This window comes from Homo sapiens, chromosome 5, assembly GCF_000001405.40.
Source record: "Homo sapiens chromosome 5, GRCh38.p14 Primary Assembly".
NCBI lineage: Eukaryota > Metazoa > Chordata > Mammalia > Primates > Hominidae > Homo > Homo sapiens.
Window position 1 is genome coordinate 70,459,195 of NC_000005.10, and position 27,232 is coordinate 70,486,426.

At 44.1% G+C, this 27,232-nt stretch overlaps 2 pseudogenes across 1 annotated transcript in view; one reads left to right on the plus strand and one right to left on the minus strand.

Annotated features, from left to right (window-relative positions):
* Nucleotides 279-19,390, plus strand: NAIPP1 (NAIP pseudogene 1; annotated as a pseudogene).
* GUSBP15 (GUSB pseudogene 15) overlaps nt 21,849-27,232 on the minus strand; it is a 104,680-nt pseudogene continuing 99,296 nt past the window's right edge. The window contains exon 11 of the transcript NR_034021.1: nt 21,849-22,344. The product of NR_034021.1 is annotated as a GUSB pseudogene 15 (transcript). The remainder of the gene's footprint in view (nt 22,345-27,232) is intronic.

Here is a 27,232-nt window from a genome sequence, read left to right on the forward strand (position 1 = left end):
GGAGTTTTACAGTTCAGGGAAGTAATCTTGTTAGGCAAGAACAAAGACTGCTGTAGTAACCAGGGATATAGCACGGGGGCATGCTGTTGTGATTTTCTAGGAACAGAGGGTCTCCTCTCCCACCACAGTGAGCGTCACTCTCTGCCCTTGTTCTGGAAAGCACATGGCATGTCAAGGTCACTCTGCCCTTTGTCACAGTAAGATTAGGGTGGGGCGCCCAACCTTCCCCGCGTGCTATGTAAACGTCACACCTGTTCAAACCAACCTGTGGGCTCTGCGCAAATCAGACGCCGCCTCCTCAGGCCTACCTATAAAATCTGGTGCAGTCCACCGCAGGCCGGATTTTCCTTTCGGAAGCCCCTCACAAGGGAGAGATCTGTTCTCGTTTTTCTTTCTTTTGCCTATTAAACCTCTGCTCCTAAACTCCCCCAACCCCCAAGAAAGAAATTATCGAACCTGAGGGGGTTGCAGATACCCATGATTTGTAGTGAACTCAGACAGAAGTGTGGGTACCCTGAGGTCCTAATAGTTGTGGCTGGCATCTGAAGTAGGGGGCAGTCTTGGGGGCTGAGCCCCTAACCCGTGGGGTCTGCACTAACTCTGGTTAATTAGCATCAGAATTGAGTAAAATTGTAAGACACTCAGCTGCTGTCTGTGGAGAATTGGAGAATTGGTTGGTGGAAAACCCATATATTTGATGTCAGAAATGTGAGTAGAGAAATGGTTTTTCCTTGATAGGCTCTATGTAAATTTTAGTTCATGTTTTTGGTAATAAATACACAATATTACTGATTCTTAAAAGTATAAACCCAGGAAAATTAAGAAAACAAGAATGTCAAGTCCAACAGAGTTTAAAGGTAAAAAAAAATAAAATAGAACAGAAATGGGACCAGTAGCACATAGAATATTTTAACACATTCTTGGAAAGAAGAAACTATATGGACTAGTAGTCAGGAAGGAAGCAGCTCAAGGAAACCGCTTCCTGAATATGGAGTCTCCTATGAGAGACTATCTGCCCTGTGGAGAAGCTTGGAGTAACTGCGGACACAGGATGCCAGATAGGAAGGAGGGCTGGAGTGACATGAAGGGCTGAAAATTGAGGGACTAATTGGAAGCCCGTGCACGGGACAGTCAGCTCTCTCTACCCCATGATCAGAATATTTGACACACAAGTGTTTACCCTGGGGCAAAAAATTACAGGAGTCTTCCCTGCTCCCCCCAAAATTGAACACATTGCTTTCTCTTAGCTGACCTAGAGAACCAGTGTGGGCACTGGCACCCCAAAACTAAGAATCCTTTTAAGAAATGGTGATTTTATGTCCAAGGAACGTTCCAAGTAAGTTTTCGGCTGCTAGCTTTGTCTTTACAAGTAACGGGCCAGGCCCAGTGGCTCATGACTGTAATCCCAGCATTTTGGGGGACTGAGGTGGGCAAATGGCTTGAGGTCAAGAGTTCAAGACCAGCTTGGGCAACATGGCGAAACCCTGTCTCTACTAGAAATACAAAAATTAGCCAGGTGTGGTGGTGCATGCCTGTAGTCCCAGCTATTGTGGGGCTGAGATGAGAGGATCACTTGAGCCTGGGAGGTAGAGGCTGCAGTGAACCGAGATTGTGCCACTGCACTCCAGTCTGGGTGACAAAGTGAGACCCCATCTCCAAAAACAAAACAAAACAAAAAAAACCCCAAGTAACTTGAAATCATTTTCTGAAATCTTTCTCTGACATTCTGACATTAGGGTAATTCTTGTTCTCCATAGAGGGAAAGGCTCAGGTTCAAGTCCCACTCCTGTGGCTCCTGATTTTTTAATGATTAGTTTGACCAATGTGTTTTTAAATGACTTAATTTTTAAACATGAGTTGAAAACCCAGGATCACTACACATTTGAGGAAAGTTGATAATATGAAAAGTAAACACCAAGGTAAGTGGTAAAAACCTTTGAGGAAACATAATTCAGGAAACAGGAACTTAAACATTAGTATCGTACAGCAGATTCAGGAAGATGGCACTGGTTAAAAAAATTGACACTATGAAAATAAGGCACAGAGAAAAGAAAGAGCTGTGGGAAATTATAATTGCTGAAATTTTAAACTAGATTGGAGAACCGGAATATAAAGGAGAGGACAGCTGGGTGCGGTGGCTCACACCTGTCATCCCAGCATTTTGGGAGGCTGAGGCCGGCAGATCACTTGAGCCCGGGAGTTTGAGACCAGCCTGGGCAACAAGGTGAGACCCCCATCTCTACACAAAATAAAATATAAAATCAGCTGTGCATGGTAGCACACGTCTGTAGTCCCAAAACTTGGGAGGCTAGGTGGGAGGATCACTTGAGTCCAGGAGGTGGTGGCTGCAGTGAGCTGTGATTGTGCCATTGCACTCCAGCCTGGATGACAGAGCGAGACCCTTAGAAAGTAGGAAAAGAATATATGAAAAAAAAATAAGTGATCAATTAATTACTCACCTGAATAGTGGGAATACCAAAAGAGTAAAAAGAGAGTAACAGACAGTAGGAAGTTATCAAATAAATAATAGAAGGTAATTTCCCAGGCTTGATGGGAGACCCAAGAGCTCAGATTGAAAATGCCCATTGAATACCCAGCCCAATGAATGTAGAGAGGTCTACACTTAGGAGAAAAGATCCTAAAAGCTACCAGAAAGATAGAAACTGTTACTATAACAGAAATAAGACACTAGCACCTTAACTATTAACCAATCTTAACAAACTAGAATAAAGGCCGGATGTGGTGGTTCATGCCTATAATCCTAGCACTTTGGGAGGTCGAGATGGGAGGATCGCTTCAGCCTGGAAGCTTGAGGCTGCAGTGAGCTAGGATCGTGCCACTGTACTCCAGCCTGGGCGACAGAGTGAGACACTGTCTCAAAAACAACAGAAACAAAAAAACTAGAATAAAATACTTCTGGTGTGAGACTCTGTAGGTTTCATTACTCCTTTTGGGTCCTGATTAAATCCTGTTGACTCAAGACCTTAGAGCATTTACTGGTAAAGTCTCTGACTGCGCGATTTTTTTTTTGCATTTTAGTTCCTTAAATATTTTCTCACTGCTTCCTACTAAAGGACGGACAGAGCATTTGTTCTTCAGCCACATACTTTCCTTCCACTGGCCAGCATTCTCCTCTATTAGACTAGAACTGTGGATAAACCTCAGGTAAGTAAATTACTATCCCTGGCAAAGGTGCTTTTCTTCCACACCTAAACCTATGGTCCCTTCTTTGTCTTGCTATTGTTTCTCTCTTTGGAGGCAGGATGGTATGGAGGAAAGAGGACAGACACTGGAGTCACACAGACTTGGGTTTAAATCCTAGCTCCATGGCACAGTTGCCTCAATGGCACTCTTAGCACTGTAGTCAAAGAATATTAGACCTGGAAAGGGCCTTGGAAATTACTTCTCCTCCCCCAGAAACAGCCTCTAGACTGGCATGATTGACCACCAAACTTCGTTGTGTCAGACAGGATCAATGTCTGCTGGTCTGCTGCAACTCTGTACTCATTTATCTCTGGGGAGGCCTGAAGCCTTGGTGCTGTTCCTTGGCCAAACCTAAATGAAATGTACTAGCCAGTGATTAATAGAGTCCTGTGCTGGGGTGGGAGACAGACCAGGGAGCAGCCTGTTTCTTGCTTCTTTCTTTCTTTTTGGAGATGAAATCTCATTGGCTTTGAACTTCTGGGCTCAAGTGATCCTCCCACTTCAGCCTCCCAAGTAGCTGGGATTACAGGTGCATGTCACTGCCCCAGCTTGACTATACCAGCTTGTTTCTGGTTTTGAGCCCTGGTATGCAAGCTAGTGTTGGCTACCTGATCAGAGGAGTATAAAAGAGCCTCAGATGAGGTTACAGTTCTCTTGAGACCAAGGTGTCTTGCATGTATCATCTAGCTGGTTCATTGCTTAAAGATGAAGCACATCTTCCACATCCTCTGTGGCTGCAAAAGGACCCTAGGAACTGGGTGTGGTGTTTCACTTGCCTTTTGGTTTGTTGGGTTTTTTTTTTTTTTGTATCTATCCTTTACCTTTATTAAAGCCTTATGTGAGGATACTATGCGGAGTCTTCTAAGTCTTTTCAATGATCCAAACCTGTGTAATTGATGAAGAGGGTACTGTGAATAGGATCATTACTTTTTTTTTGTTTTTGAGACAGGGTCTCTCTCAGTCTGTCACCCAAGTTGAGTGCAGTATCTTGATCACAGCTCACTATAGCCTCAACCTCCTGGGCTCAAGAGATCCTCCCACCTCAGCCTCCCGAGTAGCTGGGTCTATAGGCGCACACCATCACGGCTGCCTAACTTTTAAAAAAATTATTTTGTAGAGCTGGAGTCTTACCATGTTGCCCAGGCTGGTCTCGAACTCCTGGGCTCAAGTGATTTGCCTGCCTTGGCCTCCCAAAGTGGTGGGATTACAGGTGTGAGCAACTGCGCCTGGCCCCAGGTTTTTTTTTTTTCTTTTTTTTTTTCGAGACAGGGTCTCACACTGTTGCCCAGGCTGTAGTGCAGTGGCACTGAAGCCTGAAACCTCTGCCTCCTGGGTTCAAACAGTTCTTGTGCCTCAGCCACCCGAGTAGCTGGGATTACAGGCATGCACCACCACGCCCGGCTAATTTGTTTGTATTTTTAGTAGAGATGGGGTTTCGCCATGTTGGCCAGGCTGGTCTTGAACTCCTGAACTCAAGTGATCCGCCCGTCCCAGCCTCCCGAAGTTCTGGGATTACAGGTGTGAGCCACTGCGCCTGGCCCCCCAGTTTTTTACTTTATAATTTAAATGATAGCTAAGGCTTTGTTTGGGAGAAAGATGAAAAGTGGGGAAAGATTTAGAGCCACTGGTGCCAGGCTAGTTGCTGGGGAATCCCTGTTTGAATTTGCTGAAGTGCTACAACTCTCAATGGGAAGAAAGGGATGACAATGGAACTTGAAGGTGGTTGATGCAGAGCAAGAGGAAATCGCTAAATAGATTTAAAAAGAAATCCAGACACAGAGGAAGTCAGCCAAGAATACAGTTCCCTGGCTGGTTAGGCTGCTTTGGCAAAAATGAAAGTAACTAAAAAAGAGCCTGTGTTGCCAAGTCCACCAATTTCCTTCTGTAAAGGGAAGGAACATGATGCCAAAGAGGAGTTGGGCAGATATTTCTTCTGATGGGAATGTGACCCTCATCGGGTAGATAATCACCAACGAAACTACAGTGGGAGGGCATCAAGAGACAACTGAAACAGGGAACTACACAAGAGTGAAGTTGCCTGTGGACTGACAGAGCTTCCTGCAGAACCACTGCTGGGTTGGATATACATGAATGACAAAGGAGCTCTTTTCCTTGTATTAGGTACTGTCAAATGTACCTTCAAATGAAAGGGTGTGTTTGGTCTTAATTAGCTGAATTCGTTGAAGATCTTCAATTAGCTGCAGCTTTTGCCGGAATGTGGTTAGCTGGGCAAATTCCAAATCGGTTGAGCTGCACAAAGGTGGCAGTACATAAAACATATCTTGTAAAGGGGAACTGCCCAATTCCACCCATAATTGTTAGAAGAAATACTCCCTAGAGGTTACTGAAATGTTGAGAATGCAAACAAACACATTTGGACTGGTTCTGTGATGAAACTAAGGTATCCCTTAATTTTATGTCTTTGACTTAAGTGATGATTGTTGCTGTGATAAGAGGGCCTCTACCTTCGTAGACTTTTTGTATGACCCTACTACTGGGGGAGCAGGATGAAGTGAAAGCCTGTTGAAGACTTACTAGTTCCTTTGCTCCAAATTGTGCTGAATGATGAACAGATTAATATCATTCAAAAGAAAGGAGGCCGGGTGTCCTGGCTTACACCTGTAATCCCAGCACTTTGAGAGGCTGAGGCAAGAGGATTGCTTAAGCCCAGGAATCTGAGGCTACAGTGAGCTAGAATCATGCCACTGCACTTGTACTACAGCCTTGGCAACAGAGTGAGCCCTTGTCTCCTATTAAAAAAAAAAAAAAAAAAAGGAAAGGGCTGGGCATGGTGGCTCACACCTGTAATCCTAGCACATTGGGAGGCCGAGGCGGGTGGATCACCTGAGGTCAGGAGTTCGAGACCAGCCTGGCCAACATGGTGAAACCCTGTCTCTACTAAAAATAAAAAAATTAGCCGGGCATGGTGGCACATGCCTGTAATCCCAGCTACTCAGGAGGCTAAGCCAGGAGAATTGCTTGAACCTGGGAAGCAGAGGTTGCGGTGAGTCAAAATTGTGCCACTGCACTCCAGCCTGGGTGAACAGAGCAAGACTCCATCTCACTTTGTTGCCCAGACTGGTTTCAAATTCCTGGGCTCAAGCAATCCTCCCACCTTAGCCTCCCAAAGTGCTGGGATTACAGGTGTGAGCCACTGTGCCCAGTCAAGATTCTAATGTATCCTAGTCTTGATGAATTAAACAAATAAACCTTTAGGATGATGCAAAAGCAGAATCTACAGTCACTTTAAAGCAGTGTGATGTAAAGAAAAGGGTGGCAGAGTCTCTTGGTGCTATGGGACCCAAGGACATTTACATTGGTGTGGATAAAATGCCCGGAGTGGTGAAAAACTTTATTGTCATTGTTGGACCATGGTGCATAATGTATTGTTATACCTGCTAATAAAAAATTAAACAGCAATTAACTTAGTTTAGTATGACAATACAACTGTAAGTTTAAGAGTGAAAAATGGGCCAGGTGTGGTGGCTCAGGCCTGTAATCCCAGCACTTTAGGAGGCTGAGGTGGGAGGATCACTTGAGCCCAGGGGTTTGAGACCAACTTGGCAACATAGTGAGACCCCCCCCACCAACACCCCCAACACGCTTGTCTCTATAAAAAATGGTGGTGTGCTCCTGTAGTACGAGCTGCTTGGGAAGCTGAGGTGGGAGGATCGCTTCAGCCCTTGAGGTTGAGGCTGCAATGGATGGTGATCAAGCCACTGCACTCCAGCCTAGGTGACAGAGCAAGACCCTGTCTCAAGAAAAAAAAAAAGTGAAAAATGTCCATATAAAAACTTGCACACTAATGTGCACAGCGGTATTATTTATAATAGCCAAAAAGCGTAAACAATCCACACATCCATCAACTGGGTTGAGGAATAAAATATGGTATATGTGATAATAAAGTGTGGTATATCCACATAATGAAATATTATTTGACAATGAAAAGGAATATGAAGTACTAAAACAATACAACATGGATGAATTTCGCTTCCTTTTTTTGTTGTTCTTTTTATTTTATTTTTTAAGCACCTCTACCAACATGAACATTTTGCAAAGTGAAAGCAACCAGACACAAAGGACCACGTACTGTATGATTCAATTTATATGAAATGTCCCCAGTAGGCAAATCTATAGAGACAGAAAGTAACATAGTAGTTGCCTAGGGCTAGGAGGGTAATGGGGGACATGGAAAGCAACTGCTAATGGGCACAGCGTTTCTTTCTGGGGGGATGAAAATGTTCTAAAATTGATTGTGGTGGTGGTTGTGCATGTTTATGAATATGCTGATATTTATTGAACTGTACATTTTATTTACTTTTTTTAGAGACAGAGCCTCACTCTGTTGTCCAGGCTGGAGTACAGTACTGCAATCATAGCTCCCCGCAGCTTCATATTCCTGGGCTCAAGAGATCCTTCCACCTCAGCCTCCCACGTAGTTAGGACTACAGGCACATGCCACCATGCCCTGCTAAGTTTTCGTTTTCTTTAAAAAAAAGTTTTTTAGAGACAGGGTCTAGCTATGTTGCCCAGGCTGATCTCAACTCCTGGTCTCAAGCAATCCTCCCGCCTTGGCCTCAAGAGCATTGGGGTTATAGGTATGAGTCACCGCACCCTCAGTTGTTCATTTTAAATGGGTGAATTTTATGATGTGTGAATTATATTTCTTTCTCTTTTTTTGAGATGGAGTTTCACTCTTGTCGCCTAGGCTGGAGTGCAGTGGTGCGATCTCGGCTCACTGCAACCTCTGCCTCGTGGGTTCAAGCAATTCTCCTGCCTCAGCCTCCCGAGTAGCTGAGATTATAGGCATGCGCCACCATGCCCAGCTATTTTTTTTGTATTATTAGTAGAGATGGGGTTTCACCATGTTGGCAAGGCTAGTCTTGAACTCCTGGCCTCAGCCCCCCAAAGTGCTGGGATTATAGGTGTAAGCCACCACAGCCAGCCCCAACTAGCTGGGACTACAAGCACGTGCCACCACACCTGACTAATTTTTTTTTTTTTTTTTTTTTGTATTTTTAGTAGAGATGGGGTTTTGCCATGTTGGCCAGGCTGGTCTCAAACTCCTGACCTCAGGTGATCCACCCACCTCGGCCTCCTAAAGTGCTGAGATTACAGGCATGAGCCACTGCTCCCGATGGATTATATTTCAATATAATTCAATTATGCAATATAATTGCATAATTGTTATCATCTCTCCCTGATATATTATCGGAATGGATGTGACATCTGAATGGGGATGCTGTTGAGGAAAGAGATTTCATGAAATGTACAGTGAGTGGCATAATTGTGGCTCACTGTAACCTTGAATTCTTGGGCTCAAGTGATCCTTCTGCCTCTGCTCCCCGAGTAGCTGGGACTACAGGCATGTGCCACCACATCTGGCTAATTTTTGTAATTTTAGTAGAGATGCGGTTTCATCATGTTGCCCAGGCTGGTCTGAAATTCCTGGCCTCAAGTGATCCACCTTGGATTCCCAAAGTGCTAGGATTACAAGCATGAGCCACCTGTGCCTGACCAAGATTTGTTGTTTTCTTTCTTTTTTTTTTTTTTTTTTTTTGAGAGTGAGTTTTGCTCTGTTGCCCAGACTGGAGCCCAGACTGGAGTTTAGTGGTGCAATCTCAGCTCACTGCAACCTCCACCTCTCAGACTCAAGCAATCCTCCCACCTCAGCGTCCTGAGTAGCTGGGACCACAGGTGCCTACCACCATGCCCAGCTAATTTTCATATCTTTTATAGCGACAAGGTTTCACTTTGTTGCCCAGGCTGGTCTGGAACTCCTGGTTCTACAAACTCCTGGACTCAAGTGATCCTCCCACCTCAGCCTCCCAAAGTGCTGGGATTACAGGCATGAGCCACTGTGCTCAGCCCCTTAAGATTTTTAATTCGTAGATTTCCTCTTTATCCATCTCTTTTTTCTTGTCACTTATTTGTTAAAGAAGCCATGTAATCTGTCCTGTAAAATTCCCTCTACTCTAGATTTGGCAGAATGTGTTCCTCTGGCATAGTCTAACATGTTCCTCTACCTTCTGCATTTCCAGGAACCTGACACTTGGATCTAGCAGTTTGGTCAGGCTCAGATTCTATTTTCTTTCTTTCTTTTTTTTTTTGTGACAGTCTCACTCTGTTGCCCAGGCTTGAGTGCAGTGGTGCAATCTTGGCTCACTGCAACCTCTGCCTCCTGGGTTCAAGCGATTCTCCTGCCTCACCCCACCCAGGTCTGGGATTATAGGTGCGCACTGCCACACCTGACTAGTTTTTGTATTTTTAGTAGAGACGGGGTTTCTCCATATTTGCGAGGCTGGTCTCGAACTCCTGACTTCAGGCAGTCCACCTGCCTCGGCCTCCCAAAGTGCTGGGATTATAGGCATGAGCCACCGTGCCCAGCCTCAGATTCTATTTTCTTTAACAAATATTTGTCACACACCTACTACATGCAAAGTTGTTGGTTGGATACTAAATTAACTACAAAACTGGACACAGTTATTTACATTTATAAGTCATCTTGCACATGGACAGCCATGCCCACAAAAGTGAATGGAGGCCCGGCATGGTGGCTCATGCCTGTAATCCCAGCACTTTGGGAGGCTAAGGTAGGCGGATCATTTGATGTCAGTAGTTCAAGACCAGCCTGGCTAACATGGTAAAACCCTGTCTCTATTAAAAATACAAAAATTGGCCAGGCGTGGTGGCAGGCGCCTGTAATCCCAGCTACTTGGGAGGCTGAGGCAGGAGAATTGCTTGAGCCCGGGAGGCAGAGGTTGCAGTGAGCTGAGATCGCACCACTGCACTCCAGCCTGGTCAACACAGCGAGACTCCATCTCAAAAAAAAAAAAAAAAAAAGGCTGGGCACAGTGGCTCACACCTGTGATCCCAGCACTTTGGGAGGCCAAGGCGGGCAAATCACTTGAGGCCAGGAGTTCATTCAAGTGATGAACTCTCCTCTCCCCTCTTCCCTCTCTCCTCTCTCCTCTCCTATCTCCCCTCTTCCCTGGCCAACATGGTGAAACCCCATCTCTACTAAAAATACAAAAATGAGCCGAGCGTGGTGGTGCGTGCCTATGGTTCCAGCTACTCGGGAGGCTGAGGCAAGAAATTGCTTGAACCTGGGAGGCGGAGGTTGCAGTGAGCCAAGATCACTCCACTGCACAGCAGCCTGGGCAACAGAGTGAGACTCCATCTCAAAAGAAAAAAAAAGTGAATGGATATCTTTGGTATGTTTTGATACGTTGTGTGGGAAAGCAATATGCACAATAAGTGCAGTGTGAGACTTTGAAAATGTTTAAAACCACTCAAACTATATATGGAGTTGCTTGAAAATATATAGAAAACCTTATGAAAATATGTAAACCAAACTGTAGATACTTCTGGATCTGGATTTGTCAGGGGGTGAAGTAGTGATGGATTTTCACATTTATTTTGTTCATTGCTGTCTTGTTTAAATTTTTGGAAACAAGTATATATTACTTTCATAGTTGAAAAGAAAGTGAGGAGATTAGGAGGGAGGAAGTAAACAAGGGAGGAGAGGAGAAAGGCAGGAAGAGGAGAGAGAGAAAGTTAGACAAGTAGATGAGATGGTTATAGGGACGAATGAAGCTAGAATTGAGAAATCATTTGACAGTCACTCTGGCTCCCTGACGAATCAAAACAGCCACCCAGGCAGTCCTTGTCCATGCTGACAGTGCACCATATATGCATATGTAACAGGGAACAGCAGCCCCGGCTGGAGCACAAGCCGCTGCTCGTGGGCACCTGTCTCAGCTCTAGCCTCAGCTCAGGCTTCACTTAGCCTCAGGGTCACTGTGTTTAGTGTCGCTGGGTTATACACTGGACAAGTACCAGTGGCACCACTCACACATGATCACATTATCATGTGACTAGCACCTACTAGAGCCGCACATCCTGTCTGCAGGGGCCTTCATATGCCTTCTCTAACATAGTCAGAGGGTAAGGTAATAAGCACAGGGAGGGGAGACAGCAGTCCAGCAACCACTCCTAGAGAGGAAGGAGTTCAGGCCAGCAAACAAGGGCAGGGGGTAGTGCAGAGGCTTAGGAGATAGAGCCAGGCTTGAATCTGCTGCTACCTGACTACCAGACCCTAGGCAGGTGACTGACCTTGTCTGAATCTCATATGTAAAATGCAGTGTCAACAACAACAAAAAAATTAGAGACAGATATCCCCAAATATGTCAAATTTATTCAGGAATAAGAAAAGAGGGTTATGATTTGGAATGCACTACTGTAAACCACAGGCACGTGCAGTGAGGGAAGAGTAAAGGGAATTTTTCTTGGCAAAAGGGAGAAGTTCACATAAGCTGCTTAGAAACAGAGTTCATAGCTGGGCATGGTAGCTCATACGTGTAATCACAGCTATGTGGGAGGCTGAGGCGGGAGGGTCTTTGGAGGCCAGGAGTTTGAGACCAGCCTGGGCAATGTGATGAGGCTCCAGTTTCTTTAGAGAGAGAGGAGAGAGGGGAGAGGGGAGAGGAGAGAGAAGACAGGGGACGGGGGAGAGGGGAGAGGAGAGAGGGCAGAAGAGAATTCCTTGGTTCTGAAGGCTCAAAGCCAGAGTTCTTGTGTGTTCATTGGTGGAGATGCTGTTCCTGGGCAGGTGTTCTTTTGACAGCATCTCATCTCATGTTATCTTATCTGAATTGCTGCAGTCCAAAAGAATGTGCAGTGATAAACCTTGCCATAGAAATATGTGCGTACATGCAAGCAATGCAAAGCAGGAGATGCGTGACAGGCGTGAAGGGATTTCTTATGGGATTCTTAGAAAGTCTTTGGAACCGTTCCTGTCTTGGACATGAAAGCCTGAACCCCACTCCTTCGTGCCTTCCCAGCCCTATTTTGTGTGGGTCTGATAAAAGTGATTTCATCTTGGTATCTGCGACTTCCACAGCAGATAATAATGTACAGCTTGTCTGGTGGTTGTAAGGATGAGAAACAAAGTATATGGATCAAATGCTTTGTAAAAATTACCATGTATAATGTGAGGATGACAGATGACCAACTGTTTTGCCTTTCATTTGTTTGTCGTCATAAGCACATGGTCAGTCAATAAAATCTAAGAGCTGGAATTAGAGCAAGAATCCCCAAGTTTCTTGTTGGGTTACTCTGTCTTTAGCTTTCTGGACTTCAATTTGTTGCTTCTTTTTATCAACTGTCAACAAAATGAGTATACCCTTACACTTTTTAAAATGTGGCACTCCATAAATGTAAGATGATTTTATGGTAACTTTTTAAGGTACTGAGTTCCTCCTCAATCCATATAAATCATGAGGACAGGGAACCACCCCGTGCATTGTGTGCCATGTAGGTTATGTGCAGACTTACGGCAATCCTTGGAAACATTTATACACCTGAAAACTGGGGACCCTGGCTGCCTATCACATAGAATCATGGCCCTGGGGAAATATGCAGATCATCTGATGGCATCCATGTTCTCCTGTGATTATAAGAGAACATGGCAAGGTTGGTCACATCCCCACTGGTGGAAGAGCGGGTACTAATGCTCCAGCCTTTGGGTTCCCAGCCCATTCTTTGCTACAGCACCATAGAAAGAAAACTTAAATTTGAATTGGAGGGATTTTTATTTTTATTTTTATTTTTTTTGAGACAGAGTCTCTCTCTGTTGCCCAGGCTGGAGTGTAGTGGTACAATCATGACTCACTGCAAACTCTGCTTCCCAGGTTCAAGTGATCCTCCCGCCTCAGCCTCCCAAGCAGCTGGGATTACAGGCACCCGCCACCATGCCTGGCTAATTTTTGTATTTTCAGTAGAGATGGGGTTTCACCATGTTGACCAGGCTGGTCTCAAACTCCAGGCCTCAAGTGATCCACCCGCCTCAGCCTCCAAAAGTGCTGGGATTACAGGCATGATCCCCCATGCCCAGCTGAATTGGAGGAAATTTTAAAAGTTAATTTTAAAACTGCTTCTCTTTTATGGGAAAGGAATATGTTTTTAAATGGTATTCAGTGTGCTCTTTTTTAAAAAAATCAAAAATTATCCATTAACATCCGTTACTTTTTTTGTTTTTGGTTTTTTTTGAGATTGAGTCTTGCTCTGTTGCCCAGGCTAGAGTGCAGTGGCATGATTTCAGCTCACTGCAACCTCCACCTCCCAGGTTCAAGCGATTCTCCTGCCTCAGCCTCCCAAGTAGCTGGGATTACAGGCGCCCGCCACCACACCCAGCTAATTTTTGTACTTTTAGTAGAGACAGGGTTTCACCATCTTGGCCAGGCTGGTCTCGAACTCCTGACCTCGTGATCCACCTGTCTCGGCCTCCCAAAGTGCTGGGATTCCAGGCGTGAGCCATCACGCCTGGCCTAATAGCCATTACTTTTTAATGCATGGTAATTTTTTGTTCAGTAGATAAATATATTGTTATCTTAAAAAGATTTTTTGTATTTACTTTTGAGACTGGGTCTCAGTCTGTTGCCCAGGCTGGAGTGTAGCAGCCTGATCATGGCTCAGTGCAGCCTCTACCTCCCCGGGCTCAGGTGATCCTCCCCCTTCAGCCTCCTGAGTAGCTGGGACTACAGAGGTGTGGCACCATGCCCGGCTAATTTTTGTATTTTTTGTGGAGATGGGGTTTTGCCATGTTGCCCAGGCTAGTCTTGAACTCCTGGATGTGAGCCACTGCGTCTGGCCTATTATTTTAAATATAGTTCTCTTTACTGCCAGTAGCTTTCATATAACCCTAGCGACTAGATTTAGTCACCACTGCTTAATTCCAAAAAACAAAAGCTCCATCCTATATTTACTGTAAATCAGTCTCTTTGATTGTATTGCATGTTTTATTTCAAGAAAAAAGTTAACCTGAAGATTTAATTTTAAATAACTACACATGTTGTCACTAATAGAAATAACAAATAATTATATGAGAATAATGGTAATTCTCCTAAGTTTTGTGGTAAATTTTTTGGCAATTTTATTGAAGTATAATAAAATTCAACAATTCAATACGTCTTTATAAATGTTCATTGTGATATAGGACAGCTCTATCACAGTACTGGGGTAAATTTTAATTATATTTATTAATTACAGATGTGAATTTCTTCGGAGTAAGAAATCCTCAGAGGAAATTACCCAGTATATTCAAAGCTACAAGGGATTTGTTGACATAACGGTAATGTATAACAGCAATTTTTTTCTCAAGTTTTTGGATTACCTGTAAGTGTCTGACTCAGAAGGGCATAGGCATTCTTTTTATGTCATGGGTTTGATTTCTTTCTTCCTTTCTCCTTTCATTCCCCTGGCTCCCATCTTCAAAGTGAAAAATATCACATTCACTTGCTGACCTAGAGCCTTTTTCTTTTTCCAGGGCTGGCTTCTGACGGGCTCTGCTTGCCTTCCTGATAGTCTTCCCCTTTATGAATGAAGCCACTTGCCCCAGCTTCCCTCTGCTGCCCCTATCTGCAGGCTTGCTAAGATCTCCTGACCTAGGCGCTGTCACCCACAGTGGGCTGCAGAGCTGGCTCTTCCTAGCTGGCTAACTATCCTGAATCAGTAAAAATTTCCTAGTGGAGAGTGATGGGAAATCGAATCCAAACTGGCTTAAACAAAAATGAGAATTTATTGATTAACATGACTCAGGAGACCAGAACTCTATAGAGAACATGGCCTGACAGTGGGGGAAGAGAGGTGTTTCCTCAAAAAGAAACTGGGTGCAGCTTTCCCAGAAGAATCAGTTGCTCAATATATAATACCCTGATGAATTTAGTTACCATTCTATGTCTCTTACTTCCTCATTCGTCAAAGTACATCTGTGATATTTAAATGCAGGTCTGTTTTCAAGGTCAGTTTCCGGAAACAGTGACCCTGAGAAGGCTTCCTCCTGAGTATGCATAAACATTCACAGCTTGCATGCGTGTGTGTGTGTGTGTGTGTGTGTGTGTGTGTGTGTGTGTATGTTTGCTTGCACTGCATAAAAACAATTGCAACATCAACAGAAATAAAAATTAAAGGAATAATTCTCCTCCGACTCTGCCGTTCCATCCAGTGAAACTCTTCATTCTGGGGTAAAGTTCCTTCAGTTCTTGTTCATAGATAGGTATATACTTCATAAGTCAAACAATCAGGCTGGGCGCAGTAGCTCATGCCTGTAATCCCAGCCCTTTGGGAGGCCGAGCTGGGCAGATCACTTGAGATCAGGTGTTCGAGACCAGCCTCAAGACCTCCAACATGGGCCGGGTGCAGTGGCTCACGTCTGTAATCCCAGCACTTTGGGAGGCCGAGACGGACGGATGATGAGGTCAGGAGATAGAGACCATCCTGGCTAACATGGTGAAACCCCATCTCTACTAAAAATACAAAAAAAAAAAAAATTAGCCCGGCATGGTGGCAGGCGCCTGTGGTCCCAGCTACTCGGGAGGCTGAGGCAGGAGAATGGCGTGAACCTGGGAGGCAGAGCTTGTAGTGAGCCAAGGTCGTGCCACTGTGCTCCAGCCTGGACGACAGAGCGAGACTCTGTCTCAAAAAAAAAAAAAAAAAAAAAAAAAAAGACCTCCAACATCGTGTCTGTCTCTACTAAAAATACAAAAAAAAAAAAAATTAGCCGGGTGTGGTGGCACATGCCTGTACTACTCGGGAGGCTGAGGCAGGAGAATCACTTGAACCCAGGAGGCGGAGGTTGCAGTGAGACGAGAACCTGCCACTGCACTTCAGCCTGGGCAACAGAGTGAGACTCTGCCTCAAAAAAAAAAAAAAAAAAAAAGTCAGATAATCAACAACTTGAATTTTAATTTCCCTCAGGGAGAACATTTTGTGAATTCCTGGGTCCAGAGAGAATTACCTATGGCATCAGGTAAAAACTCAAACATTTTCCAAAGGCTTTGCTTGTTTATTTCTTCTTTTGATTTTTTGTCCCTATCTCTTTTTGTCGTCCCCCCCGCCCCGCCCCGTTTATTTTGAAGCAAACTCTAGACATCATTCCATCTGTAACTGTGAAGGGACAACTTGAACGCTGATACTTGCAATATCAAAGCCTACTGGTCTCTTTAATTTGTGCAGCAGCAATAAAGATATAGAAAAAAAAAAGACTAAAGCCTGCTGGTCTCACCTTGTGCTTTTTATTCAAGCTTATTGCAATGACAGCATCTTTGCTTACGAAGAACTACGGCTGGACTCTTTTAAGGACTGGCCCCGGGAATCAGCTGTGGGAGTTGCAGCACTGGCCAAAGCAGGTCTTTTCTACACAGGTGAGTCAGTAGGTTGTGCCCACTTGCTTGCTTGACCTTTAATTCCCACATAGACTTTATGCTCCTGGGCTTACGTTTAGCTACACTCAGCAATGTCCACTAGCTTCAGCGTTTCTTTTTCTTTTCTTTTTTTTTCCCCCTTGGAGACAGAGTTGCCCAGGCTGGAATGCAGATCTTGGCTCACTGCAACCTCCACCTCCCGGGTTCAAGAGATTCTCCTTCCTCAGCCTCTGGAGTAGCTGGAACCACAGGCGCCTGCCACCACGCCCAGCTACTTTTTTGTATTTTTAGTAGAGACAGGGTTTCACCATGCTAGTCAGAATGCTCTTGATCTCCTGATCTCGTGATCTGCCCGCCTTGGCCTCCCAAATGCTGGGATTACAGGTGTGAGCCATCGCGCCAGGCCTCTCTTCAGCATTTCTTATAGATTCGTTTTCTTTTCTTTCTATTTTTTTTGAGACATGGTCATCCAGGCTGGAGGGCAGTGGCGAGATCATGGCTCACTGCAGCCTCAACCTCCTGGGCTCAAGTAATCCTCCTGCCTTGGCCTCCCAAAATGCTGGGATTACAGGTGTGAGCCACTGCACCTGGCATACATCTCTTTTCTTTCCTGCATCATAAATCCTCTCCCAGTTTTCTATTCCTCCCTTAGGTGGTAAACCTTCAAATTTGAAACCTTAAGGTCTGGACTAACAATGAATACAAGTATTCTATTTGTGATAATTATCATGTCTTTTCTTTCTACACATTACTCTCCTCACCTCTTGTCCCCTGACAAAGTGCTCCTAGAAACTGTCACAGGACACTTCTGCTTATATTTCTTTAATCAGAACTTAGTTGGATGGGCCGGGCATGGTGGCTCACGCCTGTAATCCCAGCACTTTGGGAGGCCGAGGTGGGTGGATCACCTGAGGTCAGGAGTTTGAGACCAGCCTGGCCAATATGGTGAAACTCTGTCTCTACTAAAAATACAAAGAATTAGCCAGGCATGGTGGCGGGTGCCTGTAATCCCAGCTACTTGGGAGGCTGAGGCAGGAGAATCGCTTGAACCTGGGACGTGGAGGTTGCGGGGAGTCAAGATCATGCTATTGCACTCCAGCCTGGGCAACAAGAGTGAAACTCTGTCTCAAAAATAATAATAATAATAATAATAATAATAATAATTATTATTATTATTATTATTAGTCAGATGACCATACCTAGCTGTAAGAGGAGCTGGGAAACCTAATCTTTTTCCTGGGTGACAATGTGCCCAGCTAAATATTGGGATTTCTATTAGTATGGAAGGATTTGAGATAATAGGAACATGGATAGCAATCTTTGCCACATTCTGCCTGCAGGAGAAAATCAGGAAATTAATTTTCATGATTCCTAAACACGTAGAGCCTTCCACCAGATTGTGGCATTTTCTCTTTAGCTGCTGGTCATTAGGAAGCACCTCTGCAATCTATAAATGATGGGCTGGTTCCTGTCAGCTAAATCTCTGCCTGAAATACAAGATGATCAGGGAAAGGTTCCTAGGTACCTTGCTGGTCTTGCTCAAACCGAACACATGCATAAGTTACAGTGGAGGTTAATGCAGATCTTTAACTGAGAGATCAAGTAGTTGTCACAAATACCATAGAGCAACACAGAGAAGCAGAATATAGTTGTCACTCTACCTAACAGACATGTGCCATTGGAAAAAAAAAATCTGACTGCCTCACAATCTTAAGCCTTTGGAAAGAGTGTTTGCCATTTCTCCCTACTCTACTGTGTCTTCCTCTTGTCAGCCTTCCGCAAGACCCCTCTGACCAGTGTGCTCCCCCTCTTCCTTTCCAATCCTCCACCACTCCACACAAATCCTAATCATCTCTGACTGTTTTCAGATCTTGCAAGCTCTAGGATCTCATATTTCTGGGAGGCTTTCCTCTGCCCCAGCTTTCCCAGAGTGGAAGGAAGATGAGAAATGCTCTGTTTCTAGTTTGATCCTTTTGCAGAGCTAAATACCAATTTCTTTCCAAAGAAATATAATTTCACAAAGAGACTTAATCCTATTTCTGGTGTAATAAACATGGCAATAATGTGGTAAGAGGCAATTAATTCTTCATGCATTCACTTACATAAGGGCTGCTAGATTTGCTGGTATTTTTTTTTCCGTGAGCTCTAAATATATTCTTTCTGATTCATTCATTAAACGAATACTAATTGAGTGCCACATGAGTGTCAAGCACTTTTCTAGGTTCATGTCATTCATTAGTGAGCAAAAACCTCTACCCTCATAGAGCTTATTTTTATTTTTATTTTTTGAGACAGAGTTTCACTCTTGTTGCCCAGGCTGGAGTGCAATGGCGTTATCTTGGTTCACTGCAACCTCCGTCTCCTGGGTTCAAGCGATTCTTGTGCCTCAGCCTCCTGAGTAGCTGGCATTACAGGCATGTGCCACCATGCCCAGCTAATTTTTGTATTTTTAGTAGAGACAGGGTTTCACCGTGTTGGCCAGGCTGGTCTCAGACTCCTGACCTCAGGAGATCCGCTGGCCTTGGCCTCCCAAAGTGCTGGGATTACAGGCATGAGCCACTGCGCCCAGCCCCCTCATGGAGCTTCAATTCCAGATTCTGGTTGCCAATCTGTTTGTTGATCAAAGGAGAATGGGGCAGAGGGATGGTGTGCATCAAAGTGCATGGTGTGTAGGAGCATTCAATGACTACTTGCCAGTTACCCCATTGGTGGACAGAGTCTTATATAGAAAATTGCCTCACTGGTAACCAACTTCTGACTGTCACAAAACCCAACTGGAGACTGAATAGGCTTTCACTATTACAGGTCTGGTGGTTATTATCTGCATGTTAATGGACAGATGCCCATGCCAGTGGCACTGATCAAGTTTCCTTACTTTTAGGTATAAAGGACATCGTCCAGTGCTTTTCCTGTGGAGGGTGTTTAGAGAAATGGCAGGAAGGTGATGACCCATTAGACGATCACACCAGATGTTTTCCCAAGTGAGTGGAATGAATGTTAACCATCTGCAACTTTGGATGCACTTCAACAGTTTTTTTCTTTTTCCTCATTTCCTGCCTTATTTTATCTTTAGATTGAGTCTTTATCCACTCCTCGGATTCAGGCTATGAAGGATGAGTCTTCATGTCTTTCATCCCTTTGCTCCATGACCCCCTTCCTGTACTAGCCTTCCCCTCTTTATAGTTATGGCATAGTTTTGGCTAGATTCATATATTCACATTACATGTTTACATTATCATGACTATACAAATGCTATGTGGAGCTGAAGCTTGTGGTAAATTTTTATTTATTTTTCCCTTCCTGTATATCCTTTTATTTTTTTAGGAAGTAATAACTGTCCTGTTGGTATGTTAGCTTATTTTTTTTTCCTGAGGTAAAATTCAGGTAGTAACCATTTTATTTATTTATTTATTATTTTTTGTGACAGGTTCTCTCTCTTGCCCAGGTTGGAGTGCAGTGGTGCAATCATGGCTCACTGCAGCCTTGACCTCTCTGGCTCAAGCAATCTTCCTCGCTCAGCCTCCCAAGTAGCTGGGACTACAGGCACATGTCTTCACACCCAGCTAATTTTTTTTTTTTTTTTTTTAAGAGACAGGGTCTCTCTATGTTGCCCAGGCTGCTCTCAGACTTCTAGGCTCAAGCAGTCTTCCCATCCTGGCTTCCCAAAGTGCTGGGATTATAGGCGTGAGCCACCATGCACAGCAATTAAACCATTTTAGAGTACACAATTCTGTGGCATTTATTATAGTACATTCACAATGTTGTGCAACCACCCCCTCTATCTAGTTCCAAAACACTTTCATCGCCCCCAAAGAAAACTCTGTATCCATCAAGCAGGCCCCCCTCCTCTCTCCACCCCACTCCATGCCCAGCCCCTGGGATACACCAACCTAATTGGTGTCTATGGATTTATTTGTTCTGACTATTTCCTCTAAATGGAAGCATACCGTTTGACCTTTTGCATTTGGATTCTTTCACTTGGCATATTGTTTTGAAGTTTATCCATGTTGTAGCTTGCATAAGTACTTCCTTCCTTTTGAGACCAAGTAATATTCCATATGGATACACTGCATTTTATTTATCCATTCATCTATTTGTAGATATTTGGGTTGTTTCTACCTTTTGGCTACCATGAGTAATACCGATAGGAACATTTGGGTACAGGTATCTGATGGAGCATGTAACTGTATTCAAGTCTCTGGGGCATATACCTAACAACGATATTGCTAGCTGTATAGTAATTCTATGTTTTTACTTTTTTTTTTTTTTTCTCACACAGAGTCTCACTCTGTCGCTCAGGCTGGAGTGCAGCGGTGCGATCTCAGCTCACTGCAACCTCCGCCTCCCAGGTTCAAGCAATTTTCCTGCCTCAGTCTCCTGAGTAGCTGGGATTACAGGTGTCTGCCACCATGCCCGGCTAATTTTTTGTATTTTTAGGGTTTCACCATGTTGGCTAGGCTGGTCTCAAACTCCTGACCTCAAGTGATCCACCTGGCTTGGCCTCCCAAAGTGCTGGAATTACAAGCGTGAGCCACAGCGCCTGGCCTGTTTTAACTTTTTGAGGAAATGCTAAACTGTTTTTTCCACAGTGCTTGCACCATTTTAAATTCCCACCAACAACAATGTTGTGCAACCACCCCCTCTATCTAGTTCCAAAACACTTTCATCGCCCCCAAAGAAAACTCTGTATCCACTAAGCAGGCCCTCCTTCTCTCTCCACCCCACTCCATGCCCAGCCCCTGGGATACACCAACCTAATTGGTGTCTATGGATTTATTTGTTCTGACTATTTCCTCTAAATGGAAGCATACAGTTTGACCAACAATGTATGAGGTTTCCCATTTCTCATCAACACTTTTCTATTTTTAAAAAAATTATAGCCATCTGCTTAATTTTTTTTTTTTTTTTTTTTTTTTTTTTTTTGAGATGGAGTCTCACTTTGTCGCCCAGGCTGGAGTGCAATGGCGTGATCTCACTCACTGCAACCTCCGCCTCCTGGGTTCATGCCATTCTCCTGCCTCAGCCTCCCGAGTAGCTGGGACTACAGGCACCTGCCATCACGCCCGGCTAATTTATTTTTTATTTATTTTTTTAGTAGAGACGGGGTTTCACCGTGTTAGCCAGGATGGTCTCCATCTCCTGACCTTGTGATCCACCCGCCTCAGCCTCCCAAAGTGCTCTGATTACAGGCGTGAGCCACCGCGCCCGGCCAGCCATCTGCTTAATTTTTATGTACATTGCTTATTTTTGTTTCTTGAGATAAAATTCATGTATTAATAATTTTATTTATTTAAATGAAATAAATGAAGACGAACACCAGCTCATCTTCAACTTATCCCAAATGTTTAAATCTCCTCTTAAGTCATTCAGACCTACCAGATATCTCATCATTTTCATTTCTTGAAAGAGTCATCATTTTTTTTTTCTTTTTCTTTTTTTTTTGAGACGGAGTCTGGCTCTGTCACCCAGGCTGGAGTGCAGTGGCATGATCTCGGCTCACTGCAGACTCTGCCTCCCAGGTTCAAGCAATTCTTCCTGCCTCAGCATCCCAAGTAGCTGGGACTACAGGCATGCACCACTATGCCTGGCTAATTTTTGTATTTTTAATAGAGATGGAGTTTTGCCACGTTGGCCAGGCTAGTTTCAAACTCCTGACCTCAAGTGATCCGCCTGCCTCAGCCTCCCAAAGTGCTGGTATTACAGGCGTGAGCCACTGCGGCTGGTCCATTTTCATCTTGAAATGAGTTTCCCTGGAAGTCTTCTGGCCTGCTGGATTATGAACAACTTGTCCTATAATCATCCTGGGATCCAGGGATCTTTCTTCACAGGCATCCTGGAGATTATCTCCTCTGTTGTATCTCCTGGATCTAATGTCATCCTCTTCTTGGTTCACTCGCTCATTTTGTTGGAACACTTCATCGGAGTTCCCTGGGAAAGACTGCATAAGAAATACACACTTTTAGTTGCATATAATGCATATACAGACATATAGATCTATCTAGATATATGTTTTTCCTGTATTCTCACACTTATTTGATAGTTTAGCTAGGTGTAGAATTATAGGTTGGAAGTCATTTTAATTCTAAATTGTAGAGGCACTGCTACATTTCTACTGGTTCCTAATGTGCTGTCGAGAAGTTCCATGCCTTTCTGCTTGTCAATCCTTTTACTGCAAACAAAATTTTTTTTTTTCCTGTGCTGGAAGCTTTCAGAAAAATATCTGTTCTAAAATTTTATGAAGAAATATTTCTTTTCTATGAATCTTTAAACTTAATTTTTTTTTACCCATCAAACTCTTTAGAAATGTTTAATTGCAAGAAGAAATTTGTGTTTTCACTATGTAATTAGTAAGAGTTTTTTTTTTAGAAATGAATATGAACACATACAGATTTTAAAATGAATGCTTCCTGCTCATTTGTATAGTGGTAAAAACAAAAATAAAACAAAATGAATACTTCTATCTAATTTTATTGCCTTGAAGGTATTTTGATAGCAGTAGTTACCTCATTTTTCTTTCTTATTTGGGCTTAGTGTATAATAAATTATTGAGAACAATGGGGACATTCTACTTAATTCTTGGAAGGATAAGCTAGGATGCAGTCTAGTCTTATTTAGAACTTACTCTGGAATCGATCAACTCCCTTTTATACTATTATTATTATTAGTTTTAGTGTTTTGTTGTTGTTGTTTTTGAGATGGAGTCTCACTCTGTCACCCAGGCTGGAGTGCAGTGGCGTGATCTCGGCTCACTGCAACCTCCGCCTCCCGGGTTCAAGCGATTCTCCTGCCTCAGCCTCCCAAGTAGCTGGGATTACAGGTACCTCCCCACCATGCCTGGCTAATTTTTTGTACTTTTAGTAGAGACGGGGTTTCACCATGTTGGCCAGGCTGGTCTTGAACTCCTGACCTCAAGTGATCCTCCTGCCTCAGCCTCCCAAAGTGCTGGGATTACAGGTGTGAGCCGCCACACCTGGCCTTTAGTGTTTTTTTGTTAAGAGACTGGGTCTCGGCTCTGTCACCCAGGCTGGAGCAAGTGCAGTGGTACAATCCTAGCTGACTGTAGCCTCAAATTCCTGGGCTCAAGTGATCCTCCCACCTCAGCCTCCCAAGTAGCTAGGACTACAAGCATGTGTCACCATGCCCGACTAATTTTTTAAAGTTTTTTTTTGTAGAGATGGGGTCTTGCTTTGTTGCCCAGGCTGGTCTCAAACTCCTGGCTCCAAATGATCCTTCTGCTTCAGCCTCCCAAAGTACTTGGATTACAGGCATGAGCCACTGCTCCCAGCCAACTCCTTTTTGGATTTTTACTCTTCCTTTGCCTCTTAAAAAAACTGCAAACCAGTATGTCTCCAAATGATTACCTAAAATTTTTATGTATGCTTTAAAGAATGAATAAAAAGCAACCTATGAACCTCCTAGTAAAGTCAAGAAATTGGACATTATCAATGCCTTAAAAGACCCCTGCGGCCGGGTGCAGTGACTCACGCCTGTAATCTCAGCACTTTGGGAGGCCGATGTGGGCAGATTGTCTGAGCTCAAGAGTTCGAGACCAGCCTGGGCAACATGGTGAAACCCCATCTCTGTTAAAAAACAGAAAAATTTAACCGGGCCTGGTGACACACGCCTGTAGTCCCAGCTATTAGGGAGGCTGAGGCAGGAGAATGGCTTGAACCTGGGAGGCGGAAGTTGCAGTGAGCCAAGATGGCGCCATTGCACTCCTGGGCGACAGAGCGTGACTCTGTCTCAAAAAAAAAAAAATCAAAAAACAAAAAACAACTCTGCATGCCAACCACCCCCTAATTCTGATTATATCCCTGTCCCTCCAATCCAGAGGTAAATGTGATGCTCAGTTTGGGTTAATTATTCCCCTGCTTCTCTTTGTGGTTTTACCAACTACATATACATCCTTAAACATATTTAGCTTTGTCTATTCTTGAAGTTCAAATAAGAAGCATACTGCATGATTCTTCTTGTAATTGGCTGGTTTTACTCCACGATGTTTTTGAGATTCATCCATATTTATATGTACTACACAGTTGTAGTTCACTTGTTTTCATTGGTAAATAGTGTATTATTTTATGAATATATAATAACTTATTTTACTGTTGATTAACCTCGTGGGTCGTTTTCAGAGTGTTGCAAATTCAAATAATGCCCTATGAACATTCTTGTACATATTTTCCAGTGCTCATGTGTGTTTCTCTAGGATACATAACAAAGTAAAGAATTGCAGAGTCATAGAACTTTGCGGGTGTTCAACTCCACTAGATAATGCAAAGCTTTTTCCCAAGTGGTTGCACTGATTTACATTCCCATTGGCCTAGATGCGTTTCTATTGATTTGCTTCCTCACTAACTTGGTATTGCCCAAATTTTAATTTTTGTCAGTGTAATTACTAATAATGTTAAGCTTATTTTCTTCTTCTTTTTTTCTTTCTTTTTTTTTTTTTGAGACGGGAGTTTCACTCTTGTTGCCCAGGCTGGAGTGCAATGGCACGATCTCGGCTCACCACAACCTCCGCCTCCCAGGTTCAAGTGATTCTCCTGCCTCAGCCTCCCGAGTAGCTGGGATTACAGGCATGTGCCACCACGCCCAGCTAATTTTGTATTTTTAGTAGAGATGGGGTTTCTCCATGTTGGTCAGGCTGGTCTCGGACTCCCAACCTCAGGTGATCCACCCACCTCAGCCTCCCAAAGTGCTGGGATTACAGGTGTGAGCCACCGCGCCTGGCAGTTGAGCTTATTTTCATATTTTCCTGCAGAATAGTCTTGTTCTTTCTCTTCAAGAGTGTGTCTTAGCTATTTTTTTGCCCTTTGGTCTTTCATATTCCAGAGAATATATTAAATATCCCAAGCAGGCATGGTGGTTCACACCTATAATCCCAGCACTTTGGGAGGCTGAGGTGGGAGGAGTGCACAAGGCGAGGAGTTTGAGACTAGCCTTTGCAACATAGCTAGACTCCATTTCTACAAAAAATTTTTAAAACAAACAGGGTGTGGTAGCATGCATCTGTAGTCCCAGCTACCTGGGAGGCAGAGGCAGGAGAATCGCTTGAGCTCAGGAGTATAGGTTGCAATGAGCTATGATTGTGCCACTGTACTGTGGCCTGGGTGACAGAGTAAAACTTTGTCTCTAAAAAACAGAAATATCCCTCTTTATCCTTGATAGTATTTTTTAGGCCTTTATTAGTTTTTTCATGTTACATCTTTTAGATTATTTTCTTTTTAATCTATCTGTGACTATATTTAAAGTCAATTCTTGTTTTTTCCTTTTCCTTTTTGTGGGTAACGGGGTCTCACTATGTTGCCCAGGCAGATCTCAAACTCCTGGGCTCAAGCTGTCCTCCCACCTCTGCCACCCTAAGTGTTGAGATTACAGGCATGAGCCACTGCACCCAGCCTTAAAGTGAATTGTTATAGGCAACAACACAGTGGGGTCTTTTATTTTATTTTTTATTTGTTTATGAGACAGACTCGCTCTGTTGCCTACGCTGGAGTGCAGTGGTGCAGTCTTGACTCACTGCAGCCTGGACTTCCCAGGCTCAAGCAATCCTCCCACCTCAGACTCCTGAGTAGCTGGGACTACAGGCACATGCCACCATGCCAGGCTAATTTTTTTTTTCTGGGCCTAGAGATCTGTGGAACTTTGAACTTGAGAGAGATGATTTAAGGTATCTGACAGAAGAAATTTCTAAGCAGCAAAGCATTCGAGAAGAAGCAGAGCATAAAATTTCAGAAAATTTGTAGCCTGATGATGCAACAGAAAAGAAAAATCTATTTTCTCAGGAGACTGGGTTGTAGAAATTTGCATAAGTAATGAGGAGCCAAATGTTAATCACCAAGACAATGGGGCAAATGTCTCCAGGGCATGTTAGAGACCCTCACAGCAGACCCTCCCATCGCAGGCCAGGAGGCTTAGAAGGAAAAATGGTTTTGTGGGTCCAGAACCCCCTGCTGTGTGCAGCCTAGGAACTTGGGGCCCTGCATCCCAGCTGCTCCTGCCATAGGTAAAAGGGGCCAAGGTACACCTCAGGCCATGGCTTCAGAGGGTGCAAGTTCCAAGCCTTTCAGGTTCTAGGTGGTGTTAAGCCTGCAGATGCACCGAAGTCAAGAATTAACGTTCATGAACCTCCGCCTACATTTCAGAAGATGTATGAAAATGCCTGGAAATCCAGGCAAAAGTTTGCTGTGGGGGGGAGGGGAGGGGGGGGCCCTCATGGATAACCTCTGCTAGGGCAGTGTCAAAGGGAAATATGGGGTTGGAGCTCCCACACAGAGTCCCCACTGGGGTACTGCCAAGCAGAGCTGTGAGAAAAGGGCCACCATCCTCCAGACCCCAGAATGGTAGATCCACTGACAGCTTGCACTGTGTGCCTGGAAAAGCTGCAGACACTCAATGCAGCCAGAAGGGGGGCTGTACCCTGCAAAGCCACAGGGGCGGGGCTGCCCAAGACCCTGGGAACCCACTTCTTGCATCACCTAGATGTGACACATGGAGTCAAAGGAGGTCATTTTGGAGCTTTAAGATTTGCCTGCTGGGTTTTGGACTTGCATGGGGCCTGTAGCTCTTTCGCTTTGGCCAATTTCTCCCATTTGAAACGAGTGTATTTACCCAATGCCTGTATCCCTGTGTATCTAGAAAATAACTAACTTGCTTTTGATTTTACAGGCTCATAGGTGGAAGGGACTTGCCTTGTCTCAGATGAGACTTTGGACTATGGAATTTTGAGTTAATGCTGAAATAAGAGTTTGGGGGACTTAGGGGAAGGCATGATTGCTTTTGAAATATGAGGACATGAGATTTGGGAGGGGCCGGGGAAGAATTAT